The 19,121-nt window shown below is 44.1% G+C and overlaps 1 protein-coding gene across 55 annotated transcripts in view; it reads right to left on the reverse strand.

Annotated features, from left to right (window-relative positions):
* KCNMA1 (potassium calcium-activated channel subfamily M alpha 1) overlaps positions 1-19,121 on the reverse strand; it is a 768,207-nt gene that overhangs the window by 460,752 nt on the left and 288,334 nt on the right. The window lies entirely within an intron of this gene.

The raw sequence follows: 19,121 nt of genomic DNA on the forward strand, positions 1-19,121 counted from the left end.
TTCTGTCAATTTTAGAGGAGCCCACGGGGCTCACACAAGCTGTGCAGATCACCAAGGTTAGTATCTCCATTGCCTTGCTCCTTGGAAGAATGTTCAATATTAGTTCAGTGTTCCCAGCCCACAACCTAAAGCCTCCAGGAGTCAGGATGAAATACAAACAATGGCAATGACCCCTCCTTATCTGGAACTCACAATAATTTCGTAAATACTGCTATGCACCTTGGTTCCTTCAATCTTCTTAACATCCCTCCAAAGCAGGCGGTTAGTGATCTCCCGATTATACAGAAAGGTAGCTGAGGCCTAGAGATTGACATGACTTGCTAAAATTCACACAGCTATCAGTGAATGGCAAAATCAGAACAGCCCAGGATGGCTCTTCAGGCAGCAAAGTTTAGTGGGAAAAGCAGCCAGGGAGAACTCAAGTTCAAGGGAGAACTTGAATCTTAACACTTATTACCTATATGACCTCAATAAAGTCACTTAACCTGTGAGGACTCAGTTTCCTCACATGTAAAATGAAAATAGTATTTTCCATTCAGGATGCTGGGGCATGCAATAATGTGGGAGAGCACTGAGCCAAGTGTTTGGCACAGAGATGGGATTAAATAGGAGGGTCCTATTGTTATTATTACTATGGTTAGGGGAGCCCCATTCCCTCTCCAACGTACAGAGCCACACGGAATCTAAACTAAGGAGGCCATAAAACACACTGGCTCCAGTCTAAGTCCAGTGTCTTTCTCCCTGCCCCCCATGTACCTGCCAGCCACATGCCTGAACAGCAGAGAGAGAGCTCAATCATCACATGTGGCTTATCTAGAGAACTTTTAAATCCCACGCTGGCCTGACCCACCCCAGCTGGCATACTCTCAGGCCTCTGACACTGGCAGCAGGTCTGAGCATGAGGAATACAGTATCTAATCTGAGCAATAACTTGCTTATCCTTATATTTAATTTATACAAAAGTGCTTTATGATATATGGCATGATGGCAACCATGGGTCAGTGAAACATATGAATTTCCATTAAACATATCCACTTCCATAAACAACCATTCCTGTTTTGAGTAGGTAGAGCCAGTAAGGATGAAATGATGCTGAAGAGGAAGGCAGTGGAGGGTATTTTATAAATATCAATATTCAAATACCACTTAAGTCCTCATATTTACTTAATAAATATGACAATGGGCCAGGCACAGTGGCTCACACCTGTAATCCCAGAACTTTGGAAGGCCAAGGCAGGAAGATCACTTGAGCCCAGGAGTTCAAGACCAGCATGGGCCTGTCTCTACAAAACCTTTAAAAAAAAAAAAAAAATCAGCTGGGTATGGTGGTGCATGCCTGTGGTTCCAGCTGCTTGGGATGCTGAGATGTGAAGATCCCTTGAGTCCGGGAGGTCGAGGCTGCAGGGAGCTATGATTGCACCTCTATACTCCAGCCTGGGCAACAGAGCCAGACCTCATCTCTAATATATGTATATATATATAAAATAGGTAACCTGTCCCCTGTCCCAAATTGCCCTGGGGAGCACTGCAAAGCCTTAAAGAAATACATTGGGGATTATCTGCTTGTTTGGTTACCCAAGCTGCTACTTCCTTTTTGTCTATAATTAATGAAATTAGACCATGCACATAGATGAGATCCACTCAAGTCTACAAATATTGACAGCACTAGATATACATTTTGAGGCCATGAAAATGCAATGAGGAACAAGACACAACCCCTGTTGTTACGAGGGCACAGCCCATTGTGGGAGACAGATTACATAGCATTTACAGTACGATAGGCTGAGTACGCAGGGGTAAGGGAACACAGAGGAGGAACATGTTTCCTGAATTTGGGGCCCAAAGCTGAGACCTAAAGCGTGCACAGGAGTTGGCCAGGGGATGAGAGGGAAAAAAAGGAGAGAGAGTTGCTCTGAGTTAAGGAAACATTTGAGCAAAAAATCCATTTGTAAACAGAGCTTGGGGACCTCAGTGCTGCCACTGAGTGACAATTCATAAATGCAGCAACTCTCAGCCACCCACCCAACATTATTCTGTGCTTGATCAAGAGCTGAAGCAGCCTCCAGCTGCTGCCACCTTCTGCCAGCAGTGTTAGTTCCATGAGGGCTGTTCTGCCCATGGATCATTGATGATCTGTTGTCCCCTGCATGCACAGACCAGAAACCCCACCTCCCCACCTGCTGCTGTTACCCTAGTTGACCTCCTGCCTCACTGGGTGGCAGAATGGACAGCCCTGCCATCTGCTTCCCTCCCCAGAGCACCAGGCATGGAACACTGGGGATTTATGGGGTCACCAGGCAGAGCTAGGAGGGTTTTGCAGTGGTAGGGAACTAGCAGTACACTTGAACACATCCATGGGATCACAGCAAGGAGGCCAAATGAGATAGGATAGGGATTCAAAGGAGAAAAACAGAACCACAGAAGTACACAGCTCTCAGATGAAAGCCACTTAATCAGCCTCATCCCATTTTCCAAAATTCAGACAAATGCAGAGAAACACTGGGCTTATTTAGCAGTATCTATACTCTAACACACACATACATGCACCTGTGTGTTAATCTAATTAGACAGCTTTTCTAGTTCTAAAGGTGAAATGCACGAAGAGCAAGTTCTTAGGTTATTTTCTCTTTAAGCAAGGGGGACTCTTACATCCAACACATGCAACAGCTATTTAGTAAAACAAACACATGTTTTCATTCTGCTTCCTGCTTGGAGCTCCAGAATGGCCTCATCTGGTCAAGGAAGGTCTCGGTTCTGCCAGCCCATTCGAGAAGGCAAATAGCAATGGTATAGATGGCATAGAGCAGGATGTGAGTCCTATACCTTGGATTGCCCTGGACAGAGGGCCTATTGTCTCCTCTATTTTTGGACCAAATGGGTGAGAAACAGCTTATATCAAGAATGGCCTGGCACATGCCTGTAAGTCCAGTACTTTGGGAGGATTGAACCCAGGAGTTTGAGACCAGCCTGTGCAACATAGAGAGACCCATGTCTACCAAAAAAAAAAAAAAGAAAAAAGAAAGAAAGAGAGAAAGAAAGAAAGAAAGAAAAGAAAAGAAAAGAAAAGAAAGAGAAGAAAAGAAAAGAGAAGAAAAGAAAAGAAAAGGAAAAAGAATGGCCTGGCAAATAACCCAAAGTCCTCTCAAAGCTACATTACTATAAACGAGTCGCATGCTTATAATTCAAAAATAACATTTGTGCCTAAATTCAAACTAACACATTTTAATGGAATGGCAACATTTTTAGGCCTCAACTCATTCTGGGCTCAAAATAATAACTAGAACTTCATAGCATTTGCTTGTGGAACCCATATTCCTTGAGCAGTATCTCCCTAGGCAACAGCTCCAGTATATCCTGCATTAGAGGATATTTCAGATGAGATGCACTTGTGTTGCCTCAGACTACTACGGAGTGACTCCGCAGCTGCTGAAGTGTTGCCTAATTGAGGATCTACTTTAGAAACGATGTGAGTGTGATGGGTAATTGGCACGTTTTCCTGCTTCTGAGAGTAAGCTGTGCGCTCCTTGGGAGGTGAAACCCACTTCCTTGTCTCACCATGGCTTGAATGACATAATAGGATTTCAGTATATGCAATTGTTGAGTGAATAAATGAATAAAGAAACATATTAGCTGAATTATTGAAACAATAAGATCAAGTAAGCCCACATAGATTTGTTCACCTTCTTCACATGCCCCCTGCCTGCCCCAACCACACCTCCTTTCCTTTGCCTTGTTTGATTTTCCACCAGGCTGCTTATTATACTATCGGACATGTAAGCACTTTACTTGGAAATGTGTTTATTTTCACATGCTGTGTAAAGTCCAAAGGGCATGGATTTTTATCTCATTCGCTCACCGCTCTACTCCCACCACCTAGAACTGGTCCCTAGCAAGAGTTCACTGAGCATTTTGTGGGGGAGTTCATTGTAAGACTCTTTAAGAATCACTCTATCTCTAAACAGAAATGATGGAAGATGTTTTTGTTCTGTGTATCAAGGGTCTTTATATATGTAAATTAATCAAAAATTAAGGTGTATTTGAGGGCGCTTGGTCTTAAAAATGTAACCATTCCACCTTGCACTGTTTTCTTACAAAAATCTTTGTAATTTGGCCCCAACATACCATTTGAGCTTTATTACATCATCTTCTTCATTACCACAATCATCACTACCATCACTGTTATCATTCACAATTACAGAAAACATTTACCAACTGCCTGCTGAGTACAAGGCATTTTGAAAATAGGTGTTTGGGGGCCAGAAAATGAATGGGATGCTGAGGTCTCTGTTCTCAAACTGCCCATCTAATGCAAGCGTTGAGACATATTTACACATGAAACATACACTCAGTGTCAAACAACGGGTTGAACCAGTTCTGTCTGACAGAAATATAATAATGAGAGCTATATAGCTAATTTAAATTTGTCTATTACTCATATTAAAAAATGAAAAATAAACAAGTAAAGTTAATTTTGATACTATTTTGCATAACCCAATATATGTAATATATTATAATTTCAACATGTATCCAATATTTTTAAAGTTTTATTAATGAGATTATTTTTCTTACTTAGTTTTGGAACATGTATGACACAGCACATCTCAATTCAGGCTAGCCATATTCAAGTGTCTAACAGCCATATGTGGCTACTGGCCACATATTGGACCCTCAGGGTTAGACTAAAGGATTTTCAGAGTACAGAGGAGGGGACACATCTCAGCAGGCACAGGAGTGTGGAGAAGGTCCCATGAGAAAAGCCTCTCCCCTTCCCTCCTTTTCCTGCTCTTTCCTTCCCCATCTTCCTCCTCCTCCCGTCCTCATCCTTATGGAAGCACAAGCGGTATAGTTGCAGGGGTAAATAGGTGTCCCAAGATGAAAACAAAGGGAAACCTTGGGCTTACCCACTGAGAGTCCCTGTTCCACACTGCCTCTTCTTCTCTTTCTCCTAGGCACAGCCAAGGAAGGTTAAATCCCATTCCATCACTAATGAGAGATCTGCCCACAAGCACTAAAATAAGATTCCTCTGATCTTAAAAGAAAAGTGTTTTTGGACTTTAGGCAACCCTGGGGACTTAGAGTTGTTCTCAACCCTAGCATCCATCAGACTCACCTAGAGAAAATTTTAAAAGTAAAGATGCCACAAGTATACACTCCCAGATTCTGATTTAATTGGTCTAGAGTGAGGCCTAGGGATGTTTGCACCTTTTTTAAAGGCTCCTAGGTGATTCTAATGTGTAACTAGACCTGAGAACTGCTGGGCTGGGGTGCAGAAATTGCAGAGTGGAGGAGAGGAAAGAGTGGCCAGTTGGCTATGATGCCATTAACCACAGCACTCAGCATCACTTTATGTACCCTTTCTCGTTGGATCCATATGATAACCCTGTGTGACAGGTACCACTAACCTCATTTTGCAAGTGAGAAAACCAAGGCTCTAGGAGGTTAAGCAACTTTTCCAGGGTCACACAGTTAGCAACTGGGAAAGGAAGAAACTCAAGCCCGGTCAGGTCTGACTCCAAGACCCATGCTCCTCACTTCATATCACCCCTTGTCCCTCCTCTTCATCAACCTTGCCCTCCATTTCCACTCCACCAATCTTGGTTCAAGGTGAGAAACTGGGATGGGAATGAGAGGATGAAGAAAACTAGGTAAGATGCAGGGACAGGTTGGGAAAAAATAGTAATGCATACAGCAGATGCAGGGGGAAGTTGGGAAAAAAATAGTAATGGACACAGCAGCAAGGGAGAAACCTCCTTCATAGATGGCCAGCATCTCCCAGATATTTTTTTAAGTGCTAGATAGATTAAGTGTTGAAAGGACACATGCAGGGGAGGGTGCTGATATTGACTACGAGACTTGTTTGGCATCATGACAAGGAAGAAGTGATGAGAAAAGGTGTCCCAGAAAATTAACCATTACCTAGCTTCCACAGAGGATCCTGCCCTAACCAACAGATAGGCTAGAAAGAAGGCTACAGAACAGAAGACAAAGAATAAAAGAGCTGTACACAAAGATATGTTCTTTTTCTGAGGTTTCATACACTGTGAAATTTCCAAGTAGTGAAAAATTAACTCAATGCTTAAAAAAAAAAAAGAAGATGAATGCAAAGAAAGAAAAAAAAAAGAAAAATCTGGCAATGTTGGAAGAGAAATCAGTCTTGCCTGACAGTATTTAAATTGAATGTCTGTGAGCATGGCCCACAATTTTTAGTGAAAGTAGAAGCTATTAAAAAGTCGATGCACAAGATTAAAATTTAGAATGCTATTTTAATAATACCAAATTCTACTCAATTTCAAATGGCTGTCATTTTTAAGCTCCACCAATTTGATAACACTTGACTGATGGCATTGGGAGCTGAGTGATGGGAAGATTGAATTCGGCAGGTCCAGCTCAGCTGACACAGCCAGAGAGATGAATACTCATCCTCAAAGAACTAAGCAGACCAGGCTGATGGACCTCTTAGAATCTGTTTTCCCATCTGTAAAATGGGACTAACAATATCTGCCCTACTGAAAGGAACAAGTGTGATGGAGGGTGAATGAACCATTGTCAAAAGCATTGTGAAGGTCAAGAATGCATTGTGCTCCCGCTGTGGGTAGAGCCTGTGCTAGGTCACAGGTCACCTCTTTCTGGAAGCTTCCCACATCTCCCAATTCTAACTTAGAGAATCAACAAGTAGTTGGACTAGTCAGTGCTGGGATGAGAACATGCTCAGGATGTTCCAGAACTCGGAGACAAGTCATCTGTCACGTCATTAGATCCACCACCTTGTAGGACTGGGAGTTTGCTCTGTGTACCTAGCACTGTGCCTGGTATACAGTGAGTGGATCCTCAATAAGTATTTGTAGTTCCCTCATTCAACAGGATCTTGTCCCTAATGTTTTGACTTTAGATGGGAAGACAAATATTTACCAAGCATAATATAAGTACTGATGCAGAGACCATCAGAGCATTACAGAGGAAGAAGAAACACTAGGCCGGGCATGGTGGCTCATGCCTGTAATCCCAGCACTTTGAGAGGCCCAATGCCAAGGCTAAGGCAGGCGGGTCATTTGAGGTCGAGTTCCAGACCTGCATGGGCAACATAGTGAAACCCCTTCTCTACTAAAAAATACAAAAATTAGCTGGGTGTGGTGCTGCACACCTGAAATCCCAGCTACTCGGGAGGTTGAGGCAGGAGACTCGCTTGAGCCCGAGAGGCGGAGGTTGTAGTGAGCCAAGATTGCACCACTGCACTCCAGCCTGGGTGACAGAGTGAGACTCTGTGTCAAAAAAAGAAAAGAAACAGAAAAATCATTTCAACTGGATATTGAAAAATCATTTATTATAATCACTGTGGTCATGTTTAATGCTGTTGACAAATATTTCCTGCTCTTCACATCCTAGGCATGCAGCAGGATTACATTACCCTGCACCCTCTGAAGTTAGGCTAAGCCATGGGTCCTACACTGGCCAATGAAACATCAGCAGAAGTGGCATATGTCCCATTTTGGCAGAAACTTTAGGAGCTGTGCAGTTCTCCATGTTTTCTTCCTGCAGTATGGCAAATGGAAGGACATGTTAAAATGAAGAATCTTGGGGGAAAATGGCTCCAGAAGCAGGGGTTTCAGTACAACCTATACAGAACATGAAGGACAAGCAAGAAATACACCTTTGTTGCAGAATCCGACTGAGATTTGGGGGCCATTTGTTATTGGCGCCTCTCTTTACTAATACAATCATGTCAGGAGGAGCTCCAGCAAAGTATCTGTAAGGGAAGGGGTGAGTGAGCCTGAAGGCTCTTGAGAGTGAAAAGGAAACAGGACTCAAGCCTCTCTTTGGTCACAGACTCAGCTACCTTCTTTCGGAGATTTCCTCCACAGGGATACACTGAAAATGCCACTCAGGTTTCAGAAGCCTCTGAGTGAGGAGCCCCAGACTCCTGCCTTTTATATACCCATCTCCCGCCCTCATGCCTTCTGGAAATGGTGCTAAGTATAGCTGGGTTGGATCCCTGGCTCAATTACTACATCACAACCAGAGACTGAGGAATAAACATGCCAGGGTGGGGCTTTTTCTCTTTGCCCGGGATGGCTCTGCCTCCATCTCTCTCAGCTCTCAGCGAAAATCCTCCCCTGCAGCCAGAGGCCCTTACAGACCCTAAGCCTCTGCTCCTGCTCTTCTCCAGCAGGTGCTGCCTCCCCTTCTCATCTCTGCATCTGTCTGTCCTGCAGAGCTCAGTTCACACCCCATCTCCTCCAGGGAGGACCACTACAGACTCCAGCCTATTCTGTGCTCATCCTACGAGCTTTGAACCCATCTGACACTCAACCATGCCCTGTCATCAGAATAGTGCTAGCTTGTTCATCTGGGCAGGTTGGATCTCTTCAAAGGAGGGAGGAACCCCTAAATCTTGATGATGTCATTTGTGAAATGAGGCCCCTGCTCTGACCACTCAGAACTGCCATTGGGCATCAGGTGAGTTGTCAGATCTAAAGCCCCTGTCTTGGTGCCAAATACCTAACAGGTGCTCAAGAAATGTAAGACTCTTCTCAATTCCCTTTGTCTACAAGACAGTTTGACAAAGTGGGACCAGCTCTTCTCCTCCCACAGTAAGCCCAGATGCGTCTCTAGAGATGTGTCTCATGCATGTATTCTCAATGGGGGCAAAGTCTCCTCCAGGAAGGCAGACATTGAAAAGTGAAAAAACAACCTTTATGTATAAACACAGATACATACAGAGTACACACACAGATATACAGTGTATCTGTGGTATTAAAATCTCATGGGGAGGGGGTAAGGAAGTGTTTTTTTAATGCTTAGAAAAGCTCCATAGGTATGCAATAAAGGAAAAAAAAAAGGCAGGCTCTTCCATGCCCATCTCAGCTGAGCCTCTTATCACTTGTCTCTTATATTTCCTCTCTTGTGTCTCTTCCAAATCAATAAAGTGATATTTTAGAAAATTCTGCCAAACCCACATTTCTCCCTCCTCCACCGCCTTCCCAGCCTCTCTGCTCCTGTGCTCATCTAATCTGCTGCCTTTCCTGGGATGTCAGCCTTGCAATTGGCTACAGGGAAAGCAGGCACTGGAGAGCTGAGAGACTCCAGTCTTGGTTTTCCAGACATAGCAGATGTGACTGTGTTTGTATCTACCCCCAGCAACACCATGGGGAAGCAGAGCTAGGCACTCCTGCCTCACCCCACCTCCCCACCACCCAGCTTGACTCAGAATGGTGCCTCAAGTCAAAGACCTGCCTGCAACTCCCAAGAGAACTAAATGTTTCCCTCCACTAGGGGAGGGTTACTGGTGGGTTTGGGCTTAGGCTGGTTTGTTGGAAGGTGGCTGACACTGCAGTTTGGCTCACCCAAGGTGGAGTCCAACCTTGCCTGTCCTCGAAGATGGAAAGCTGAATAATCACCTTCCAGCCTCCCTTGCAGCTATAGGTGGCCACGCCACATATTCTGCAGGGGAAGATGTCTGATAAAAAGCAGGAGGGAACAGCTTAACCTGATATTGCCCTTCCCCCTTTTCTTTCTACCTTGAAATGGACCCAAAGTCTGAAGCTCTCCATCTCTCTTGCAGCCATGAGTGAAAAGCCAAGGGAATCCTGACATCCTACAGACACTATCTTGACATGATGTAGCAGCAGCACTAGTGCCAGAAACCCCTACATCTAGACTTCTACTTGTAGGAAAAACTGCTTTTCTCTCTGTTACATGAAGCCCAAGGAATCCTAACTAACACAGAAGTCAAGAGTGACAGGCACAGACACATGAAAAAATGCTCATCATCACTGGCCATCAGAGAAATGCAAATCAAAACCACAATGAGATACCATCTCACACCAGTTAGAATGGTGATCATTCAAAAGTCAGGAAACAACAGGTGCTGGAGAGGATGTGGAGAAATAGGAACACTTTTACACTGTTGGTGGGACTGTAAACTAGTTCAACCATTGTGGAAGACAGTGTGGCAATTCTTCAAGCATCTAGAACTAGAAATACCATTTGACCCAGCCATCCCATTACTGTATATATACCCAAAGGATTATAAATTATGCTGCTATTAAGACACATGCACATGTATGTTTATTGTGGCACTAATCACAATAGCACGGACTTGGAACCAACCCAAACGTCCATCAATGATAGACTGGATTAAGAAAATGTGCACATATACACCATGGAACACTATGCAGCCATAAAAAAAGGATGAGTTCATGTCCTTTGTAGGGACATGGATGAAGCTGGAAACCGTCATTCTCAGCAAACTATCGCAAGGACAAAAACCAAACACTGCATGTTCTCACTCATAGGTGGGAATTGAACAATGAGAACACTTGGACACAGGAAAGGGAACATCACACACTGGGGCCTGTCGTGGGGTCGGGGGGAGGGGGCAGGGATAGCATTAGGAGATATACCTAATGTAAATGATGAGTTAATGGGTGCAGCACACCAACACGGCACATGTATACATATGTAACAAACCTGCATGTTGTGCACATGTACCCTAGAACTTAAAGTATAATTTAAAAAATGCCAAAAAAAAAAAAAAGAGTGACAGGCATAATCCTTACCCATCTGACTTCCCTGGAGTCTCTTTATAAACACATCTGTACTACAAAACAGAATGACTAGTGCTTCTCAATGTCCAGAGTGCAGGGAGACTCAGAGATGCTCTGCCATGCTTTAGGTCCCAGGGTCATGGCCTCTCTGCAGGGGGTTAAGCACATGGGCTTTGCACTCAAATTGACCTGGATTCTAGTCCTAACTCCTCCACAAAAGCTGTGTGATCTTAGACACCTCACCGTTCTGTATGTCCGTTGTTTTCACTGTAGAATGAAGTTGACAACAGCACTTATCTCATAGAATTGTTGCAAAGATTAAATGAGATATATCACACACTAATCTCAGTGCCTGGCACATACTGTCTTCTCAATACGTGTTAGCTGTCAAGATAATTTTCCACTTTCCCTTTCTGGGTCTAAGTCCTTCTATGAGCTTGTCTGTCTCATTTCCCAATTATTTCTCAGTGTTTTCTCATTTCCTTATCTCTGTAGCTCTTTCCTTCTCCTTTCTCTGTTTCTCCATCTCTCTGCATGTGTCTCCATTTTTGTCTGGCTTTTTCTCCCTCCTCCCTCATTCCCATTCAGGTTTACAGTGGAGAAACACAGCAATTTGCCTAATTTTCCCTCTCCCAGGTCAAGAGAAAGCCCTTCCCAGGCTCTCAGTCACAGTTCCTTAGACGTGGGTCCCCCAGATCCCCTTGTGTTCTGAAATGCCTGTGATGGGAAGGGGAGGGGATGGTGATGTGGTCTCCTGCCAGGAAAAGTTGCTGAAGGTTGGGGCTGGTGAAGGGGGTAGTGAGAGAGGGGCCTGCTGCCCTGCCTCAGGAATCACGTCCACTTCATGACTGGCTTTAGCAGCTGAGTCTAAAAGCTTTGGAAGGAAACGCTGGGTCCACCACTGGCTCCATTCCTGCCTCCCTTTCTGGCCTACCCCAGGATTCCTTGGCAGAACTTGGAATTTGGTATAGTCAGGGACAAACTCTTCTCTCAGATGCTTACTGTCCCAAATGGAAAGCAAGACCTAAGTGCATAATCCTAACCCACCATGGACAGACCCCTCTGGCTCCACAGCACCCAAAAGACCCCTCTGGTGAGGGGAGCAAGTCACCAATAATAACCCACAACACTTGCCCTGCACTGATGCTGCTTCAAAGGCCTTTCCTGTGCCAACCTACTGACATCCTTGCAGCTGCACCAAGGAACAGACTCCTCTTTCCCCATTTTACAAATGTCATGGCACATGGGGGCTAAGTGATATGTTCAAGGTCACACAGTTATAAATAGCAAAGACATGTTCCAATCTAAGCAATAACAACAGCAATAATAACAGCAACAGCAAAATAATATTAAGATAATTTTAATGATAAAAACACAATGTAGCATTTATTATATGCCAGGCACATGCAAGGGCTTTGCATCTATTAGCTCATTAAATCTGACGCCTACCCTGTGAGATAACTACTATCATTGTCCCCATTTTACAGGTGGAAGGGAAGGTCAAGGGAAATTCAGTCATTTGCCCAAGGCCTCGATACCATAAGAGTGTGGATTCAGGGATGTGCATGCTGCAGTGGCCAAGGCCCACAATCTTATGGGACAGCTGACCACCCAACCCCCAGCCAGATTCCTACAAGCCCCAGGAGTAAACACTCCCATGAAGAATCAGCTCAAGCTCACCTCCAGGCTGAGACAAAGGGTCACCAAGGACTGGCCACCACACGAATGCTTCTCCTTGGTCTTACAAAACATGAAAGGTGCTATTATCAGAAGCCATGCCTGCTTGCAAACTACAGAGGTGACACGAGGTAAATTCATTTCCTTCCTGTCAAGAGAAACTCAACAAGGGTATAATCAGAAGCTAATGTGTGTACTGTGATTGGGCCCATCACGGGGTGGCACATAATTGAACAAGTTCTCCATGCCTGGAGGAGCAGAGCCGAGCCCCATCACTGGGAAGTGTCACTCATCTGGCCAGCACACATTGGTTTTTAATAACATTATGGAAATAATGCTGCAGGGCTGTGGAAAGGACAGAAGCTTGAGGGGCAGGGCCTCATCAGGTCTCCGAGAGCTTTGACCTTGAGAAAGAACCTTCTGGCCCCATCCAGAATAGCCACTTTCCTCAGGGATCTCTCCTGTAGGCTTTGTGGATTTATGTCTCCTGGGCTTAAGGAACAGGGCTTGGTGTGGCTGAACCTTCTTGCTGAATGGATCCCAGGGGACCCCAGGTGAGCATTGAGGCCGGGTTCTCAAGAGACTGAAGGGGGTCGGGGGGTTACCAGAGAGAGGACAGGCCCTTTGCTTCCCCAGTAACTGTTGACAATGGTAATACCTCCATGGCCCCTACTATGAATCAGATAATTTTCTGAGGACTTTATGTATATTAACTCATTTAAACTGAAAAACAATCCATGTGATAGGTATTGCCATTGTCCTGATTGTATAGATAAAGAAATTGAGGCACAGAGAGGTGAATTTATCTAAGATCACACAGGTGGGAAGTTGTGTTTGAGCCCGGGCAGTCCATCATCCTAACCATACTCCCTACTGCCTCAATGAGCTGACACAGCCCAGCCCTGATAAAGGGGGTGGCAGAGGGGAGGGGGATGAGGTGCCTTCCTGGCTGTTGGCATTCATTTCATTCACATTTTTATCAGGCACCCCTTTCAACCAGATACTGCTGTAGGCACTGAGGATACAGTGGAGTATAAATAGATAAGAGTTATATTCTAGCGAGGAGACACAAATCCCATATAAATGTACAAATAAGACAATTTCAGAGAATGCCAAATACAATCAAGAAAATAAAACCAAGAGGTCATAGTGTCCGTGGCAGGAAAAGGTAAGTAAGTTATTTTAGAGAGGAGGAAAAGGTAACTTTAAGAACCAGAGACAACTGTTTAGGAGAAGGCCTAGCCAAGACTGAATAATTCATGTGTTAAGAGGTTTTCAATCACCTACCAAATACAGGAAGGAACCAGTCATTGAGGCTATTGAGAAGTCAAGAAGTTAGAGACCTATGAAGACAAAGGCAGCCTGGGCTCTGCTCCACCTGCCCACTCATGGGCCTAGGCATCAGAAGCTCCGCCATCTTGCACTGCAACCCTGGAAGCCACAGTCTCTTCAGTGCCATCAGGGAAGACAGCAACTGCACCACCACACACAGGCATCCCCTGCCCCAGCCCAGAAGTGATGCACATCCCTTAGTGCCTCATGTCCTGCCTAACAGTGGATGCTGGAAATTTACAGGAGCAACTGGAATATTCATAAGCCTAACTGCCTCGGCCACCAGCCCACAAGGGACACTAATGGAGACAGCAGAGTTGCGTGAGGGCTCACGAGCTAAGAGGTGGAACCCAGCCAGGCTGAGTAGAAAGTAAGCCATCGACAAGCAGGGAGTTAATAGGTTTTTCCAAATGAACGGTCCTTAATTTCAATTCATTGAGAGGTGAGGGATCAGGTGAAGGAAGCAAGGTGAAAAGGAGGATTAATCCATCCATCAAGGACCTTGGGTACTGAAAACATGAAAAGATGAATGCATTTGTGAGACATACTGATTCACTACCATGAGAAATAATTATCTTGAAGCTTATTTGGTCCCAGAATCAATCTTTATTTAACCGTACTTATTTTTGGTGGCTCATCCTGCTTGCCTCTCTTGGAAACTCAAGAAATGCTTTCTCTATTTTTTTTTTTGGGTAAATTCCAAAGACTTGCATATTTCATATTTTTCAACAGGATGATCTTTGTGTAGACTGACTGTCTTCCCTCTTCACTAGTCCTCTCTATCATTGGACCTCACCCGTAGTAATCACTCACTCCACAATCATCTTCTCTTGTTTCCTGCATCACTCATCACTACCTTAAAGTATTATTTATTGATTTATTATTTTTTTATAATCTGACTCTTCTATTGTAATATAAGGTGGGTAAAGACGGAGACCTTTCCTGTCTCCGTTGGCCACATCCCCAACACCACACCAATCAAGCAACAGACTAAGGACACAGCTAAATAAATGAACAAAAAGATAATAATAACAATCATGTGTTAGTCTTCATAACAATCTTCATTTATTCTTTTTGATTATTCCCATGTTACAAATGAAGAAATGGAGGCACAGAGAATAATTAAGTAACTTGCTCAAGGTTATACAGATATTGTAAAACAGCCAGGATTTGAAACCAGAGAGTTTGGCTAGAGGTTCCATGCTTTGTTGGTATAAATATTTAAGAAATATTTGTTGATTGAATGAATAATAAATAAATGAATGGCTTCCTTGTGTTTCCTGCCTTCTTTACCAGGGTTATTTGCCTTCAACTTTCACTGGACCCTCTATGTATCAGGCATGGTCTTAAATTCTCTTCACACATTATTCAGTTGAGGGTAGTCCCATCTACCATATCTCCATAGAATCGGTCCCAAGCCTGGTACTTAGAACTGCCCTGCATTGTCAGGCTCCCCCTTTGCCAGGTGGTGCCTCCCTAATCTGAAATCATGGACTGAGTACCTTCAAAAGAAAAATTAAACCAAAGATCAGGAGGAGATGCTTCTGACTTAGTGAGTCTAGAAGACCCTGGCCTCCCTTGCCCACTCTGCCCAGAAACTGAATCCCAGAGAGATGAAGTTATGGGTTTCATACCTGTGTCTGCCCATCAACCCAAGGGGGACAAATGCCAACATAGAATGACAGAGAGGGAAGGAAGAAAGTGTTTTTCCTAATTAATTGGCTCTAAAAGTGGAGAGGAACCAAGTTGGGTTATTATAGAAGCATCAGCGTCCGACACAGGTCTTCAACTGCCATGCAAATACCCCCTACTCTGCACCATGCAGTTCCCATGGTTTACTCTGTTGTGATGTAACTGTGCATGTTTCTACCTGAACCCATTGAACACGGCTTTGTGCTTGAACCTTGAACAATGCCTGGGACACAGTTGGTGCTCAATAAATAATGATGGGATAAATGAATGAGGGATCCCCATTCTCCTACCTACCTTGGCCTTGTCATCATCTCTCACTTTTGCGACTGCCAGATAACACCTAGCTCTATCCCCTTGAGCCATCCAAGTCTCAGACACATTCATATACTGACTGACCTTGAATACATACTCCCTTCCTGAAAGAGATGCTTCCCAGGACCCTGCATCATGGAAAATAGGAATATCATGGTAAACGTTGCTTTAATTGAACAGTGGAATCTATGCTAGTCTTCATGACGAACCTTGAAACACAAGAGTGCTGCAGTAACCATCATTCCTGAATTGTGGAACTTCACAGACTCAGGTTAGCCCCAAGTGATGCTTTGCTGAGCAATTTAAAACCCAGTCATGCAAAGCCAAGTGCTTTCATGTTTGAGAAACAAAAACATTTCAACTGCTCAGCACATCTAAATCAGTACTCCCTTAACAACCCACCTTGGTTCTTCCCCTTGATTCTGAAAGCCAATTTAGTAAGAAAAGCATATTAATAATCTTGCCCTCTCACTGGCCTTCCCTCCCTCCCTCCTATTCCAGCATCTTGCAGCTGGTACCTTGGGTCATTTGTTTTGTTTTTGTCCCTTAGGCTGAAGTGCGTCCACAGTTTTGAAACTGCTAACTAGAGTTTATATGGAAAATTCAGATTAGAAACAAATTCAAATGCACTCTCTCATTTTCCTGTAATACACTGGGTTTCTTCCCCCAATCAGCTAGAAGACTTGCTGGGTACCTCCTCATTGTGTCCTGTTGGAAAGTGTCTCTTCTGGTCACCTTGACTGTTAAATAAGTAAACAGACTCATTGGGGTTGCTGTGTCCTGTGACATTGGCACAGACTCTCACCCCAGCCAAGCATGCACATATCAATGGGCCACCATCTGTGGCAGAATTACCAGACCCAAGATGGAATTTGATGCATCTGTCCTGGTGAAATGGCATTATACTTCTGCCATATTCTTCTGGTTCAAGAACATTGTCCTCAAGCCCAAGGGACAGCCCTGTCCAGCATAAACATGATTAAAATGCCCATTGCCCGACTGCCCTGCTGACCAAGAAACATGGCCAAGCACAGAGTCTGCAAGCAGCCTGCATGTGGGTCTAAAGAAGAGGAAGGGGGAAAGTGTTTCCAGAAAGTAAGGTTGCCAAGATTTGAATCTCAATGTCACAATCTGGCTTTATGACCTTGGGTGAGTCCCTTAATCCCACAGAGCCTCAGTTTCCCCATCTGTAAAATGAAGAGTACCAATATCCTGATGTGTTGTGAGGATTACATGAGATCATTTTCGTAAAGCACCCTAGCACAGAGCCTGATACAGTGTCATTGGGAGCTAAGATTTACCAGCACTCATCATATACCAGGCCTTGTGCATGAACCCCACCTACATTATGTCATTAAGCATCACTGCATGCATAAGAAATGGGTGTTACCATCCCTATGTTACAACAGAGAAGACTGATGGTCAGAAAAGTTAAGTAACCTGCACAAAGGCAAGGAGGTAGAGACGAGTGAACTTAGGATTGGAACTCAGGACTCTCTTAACCACATGAAGAGAATCCAAGTGGAAGGTGCCTCCTACCAACGCTGAGATGAGGTTCGTGTCTGTGGGCCCCTGTCTGAGGCTGGTTGACAAGAAGCTTTAGAGAGACGCTTGGGGATGGCAGGCTTGCAGCCAGAGGCCAGGGTTTGACTCCTGTATGGGCTGTGTGACCAGGGGCCTCTTTACCGCTCGGGTGTGCTTCACCTCCTTCCTCCATAAGACAAGGACAACTGCATCTTCCCTGTAAGACTATTGGGAATAAAACAATAGGGCTTTGTGACCTTTGACCTAAGGTAGGATTCTTATACTACCCCATGCTCTATGACATGATAAGAAGACAGTACCAACACTCAGCACAGTGTTAAAAGATTCCAGCAAATAATAATGGATACTAACATAATAATAGCTACCATATATAGAATACATTATATTTCAGAAACTGTACTAAAACCTTAATTAAAGCACTTAATCCTCAATGCAACCCTGTGAAGTAGATGCTTTTTATTATCCCCTTTTACAGATGAGGAAACTGAGGCATGTAATGATTAGGTGACTTGCTCAAGGTCACAAAACTAAGTGCTGAAAACTTGGGATTCACATGGTTGCATCAAAACTTTATTGAAAGGATTGGTCAATCCAAGTGAACAACACATCTGGACTGTGCCCCATAGAAACAAGCATTTTAGTTTCACTAGAATCACCGGGATAAACAGAGGCAAGCTAACCCCTTTACTACAGGACATCTATGGTCTTTAACTTGTAAATACGAGGAAACCATCAAGAGGGAGATAGAGTATGCAGCCTTTCCTGAGCTTTGAGGGGCAACAGTGTGCTCTGACATACGATTCGAGATGTACCAAGTCTGAGTCATTTACCCTAAATAGAACAGCCTTCCATTGGCTGTTGGAAACACAAAGTAAAACCCAAAGAAGAGAGAAAGCAAAAGTGAAGAGGCCATTGTCCTCGATCCTTTATCTTTTGTTCTCTGATTCAGATCAGGAGAGGTGTGTATGCCTGCAGACCTGGACACCCGCAAGCCACATGCTGAATGAAGGCCCACAGAAGTCCCAAAAAAAGATGGAACCAGGGAAAGGAGGTCAGCCTGGAACAGTCCTGGGAAGCTGAGACCCAGCCCAGAACCTGCTGGAATCAATAGTCTTTAACACAACTGTGACATTAGCTTGGGCTGCTGGGATCCGTCTTGAAAGAAGAAGCTTTGTATATTTCTGCTCTTATTCCCCACAGGATCCAGAAATATATTTCTGTAATTCTTTTAGCTGATAAGTATGAAAAACAGAATTTTAAATATTCCAGTAGGGACCTGACAGAACAGGGCCATCTTCATTAGCTGCTGAATTTCCCAATGACTCCTAGAAATTGACACAATTAGACAAAATTAAGTGCTTCTGTCCTGAGGATAGGCCGCCACTGTTCTTTAGGGCATATCTTTGCAAAGGAAGGTGCTGGAATTCCTCACAAAAGCCACATCCCTCTCTCTCTCACACTCTTTCTCTGAGCAAATCTAAAATCTAGTGCCAAATTCCTTGGAGCTAATTCTAAAACCAGGAAAGCTTTTTGTAAGATTATAAAGATTGTATTGGACTTTGAAGATGAGTCCCTTTGCTCAGCAACTTACTTTCTTAATGCAATCCCTGAATTCTCCTTGCTATGCTCTGAATGTTTATGCCTGCCCACCCCCAATTCATACGTTGAAACCTCATCACCAATGTAATTATATTAAGAGATGAAGCCTTTGGGAGGTGATAACGTCATGGAGACAGAGCTCTCATGAATGAGATTCATGCCCTTATAAAAGAGCCTCCAGAGAGCTGCCTTGCCCCTTCCACCATGTGAGGACACAGCAAGAAAGTGCCATCTATGAACCAGACAGCGGGCCCTCACCAGACACCAAATCTGCTGGTGTCTTGACCTTGAACTTTCCAGCCTCCAGAACTGTGAGAAATAAATGTGCTTATCAGCCCCCCAAGTTTATGGTATCTTGTTACAGCAGGCCAAACAGACTAAGACATTCCTCCATCCTCCCATCGACTGGGCAAAAGGATA

This window comes from Homo sapiens, chromosome 10, assembly GCF_000001405.40.
Source record: "Homo sapiens chromosome 10, GRCh38.p14 Primary Assembly".
Classification (NCBI taxonomy): domain Eukaryota; kingdom Metazoa; phylum Chordata; class Mammalia; order Primates; family Hominidae; genus Homo; species Homo sapiens.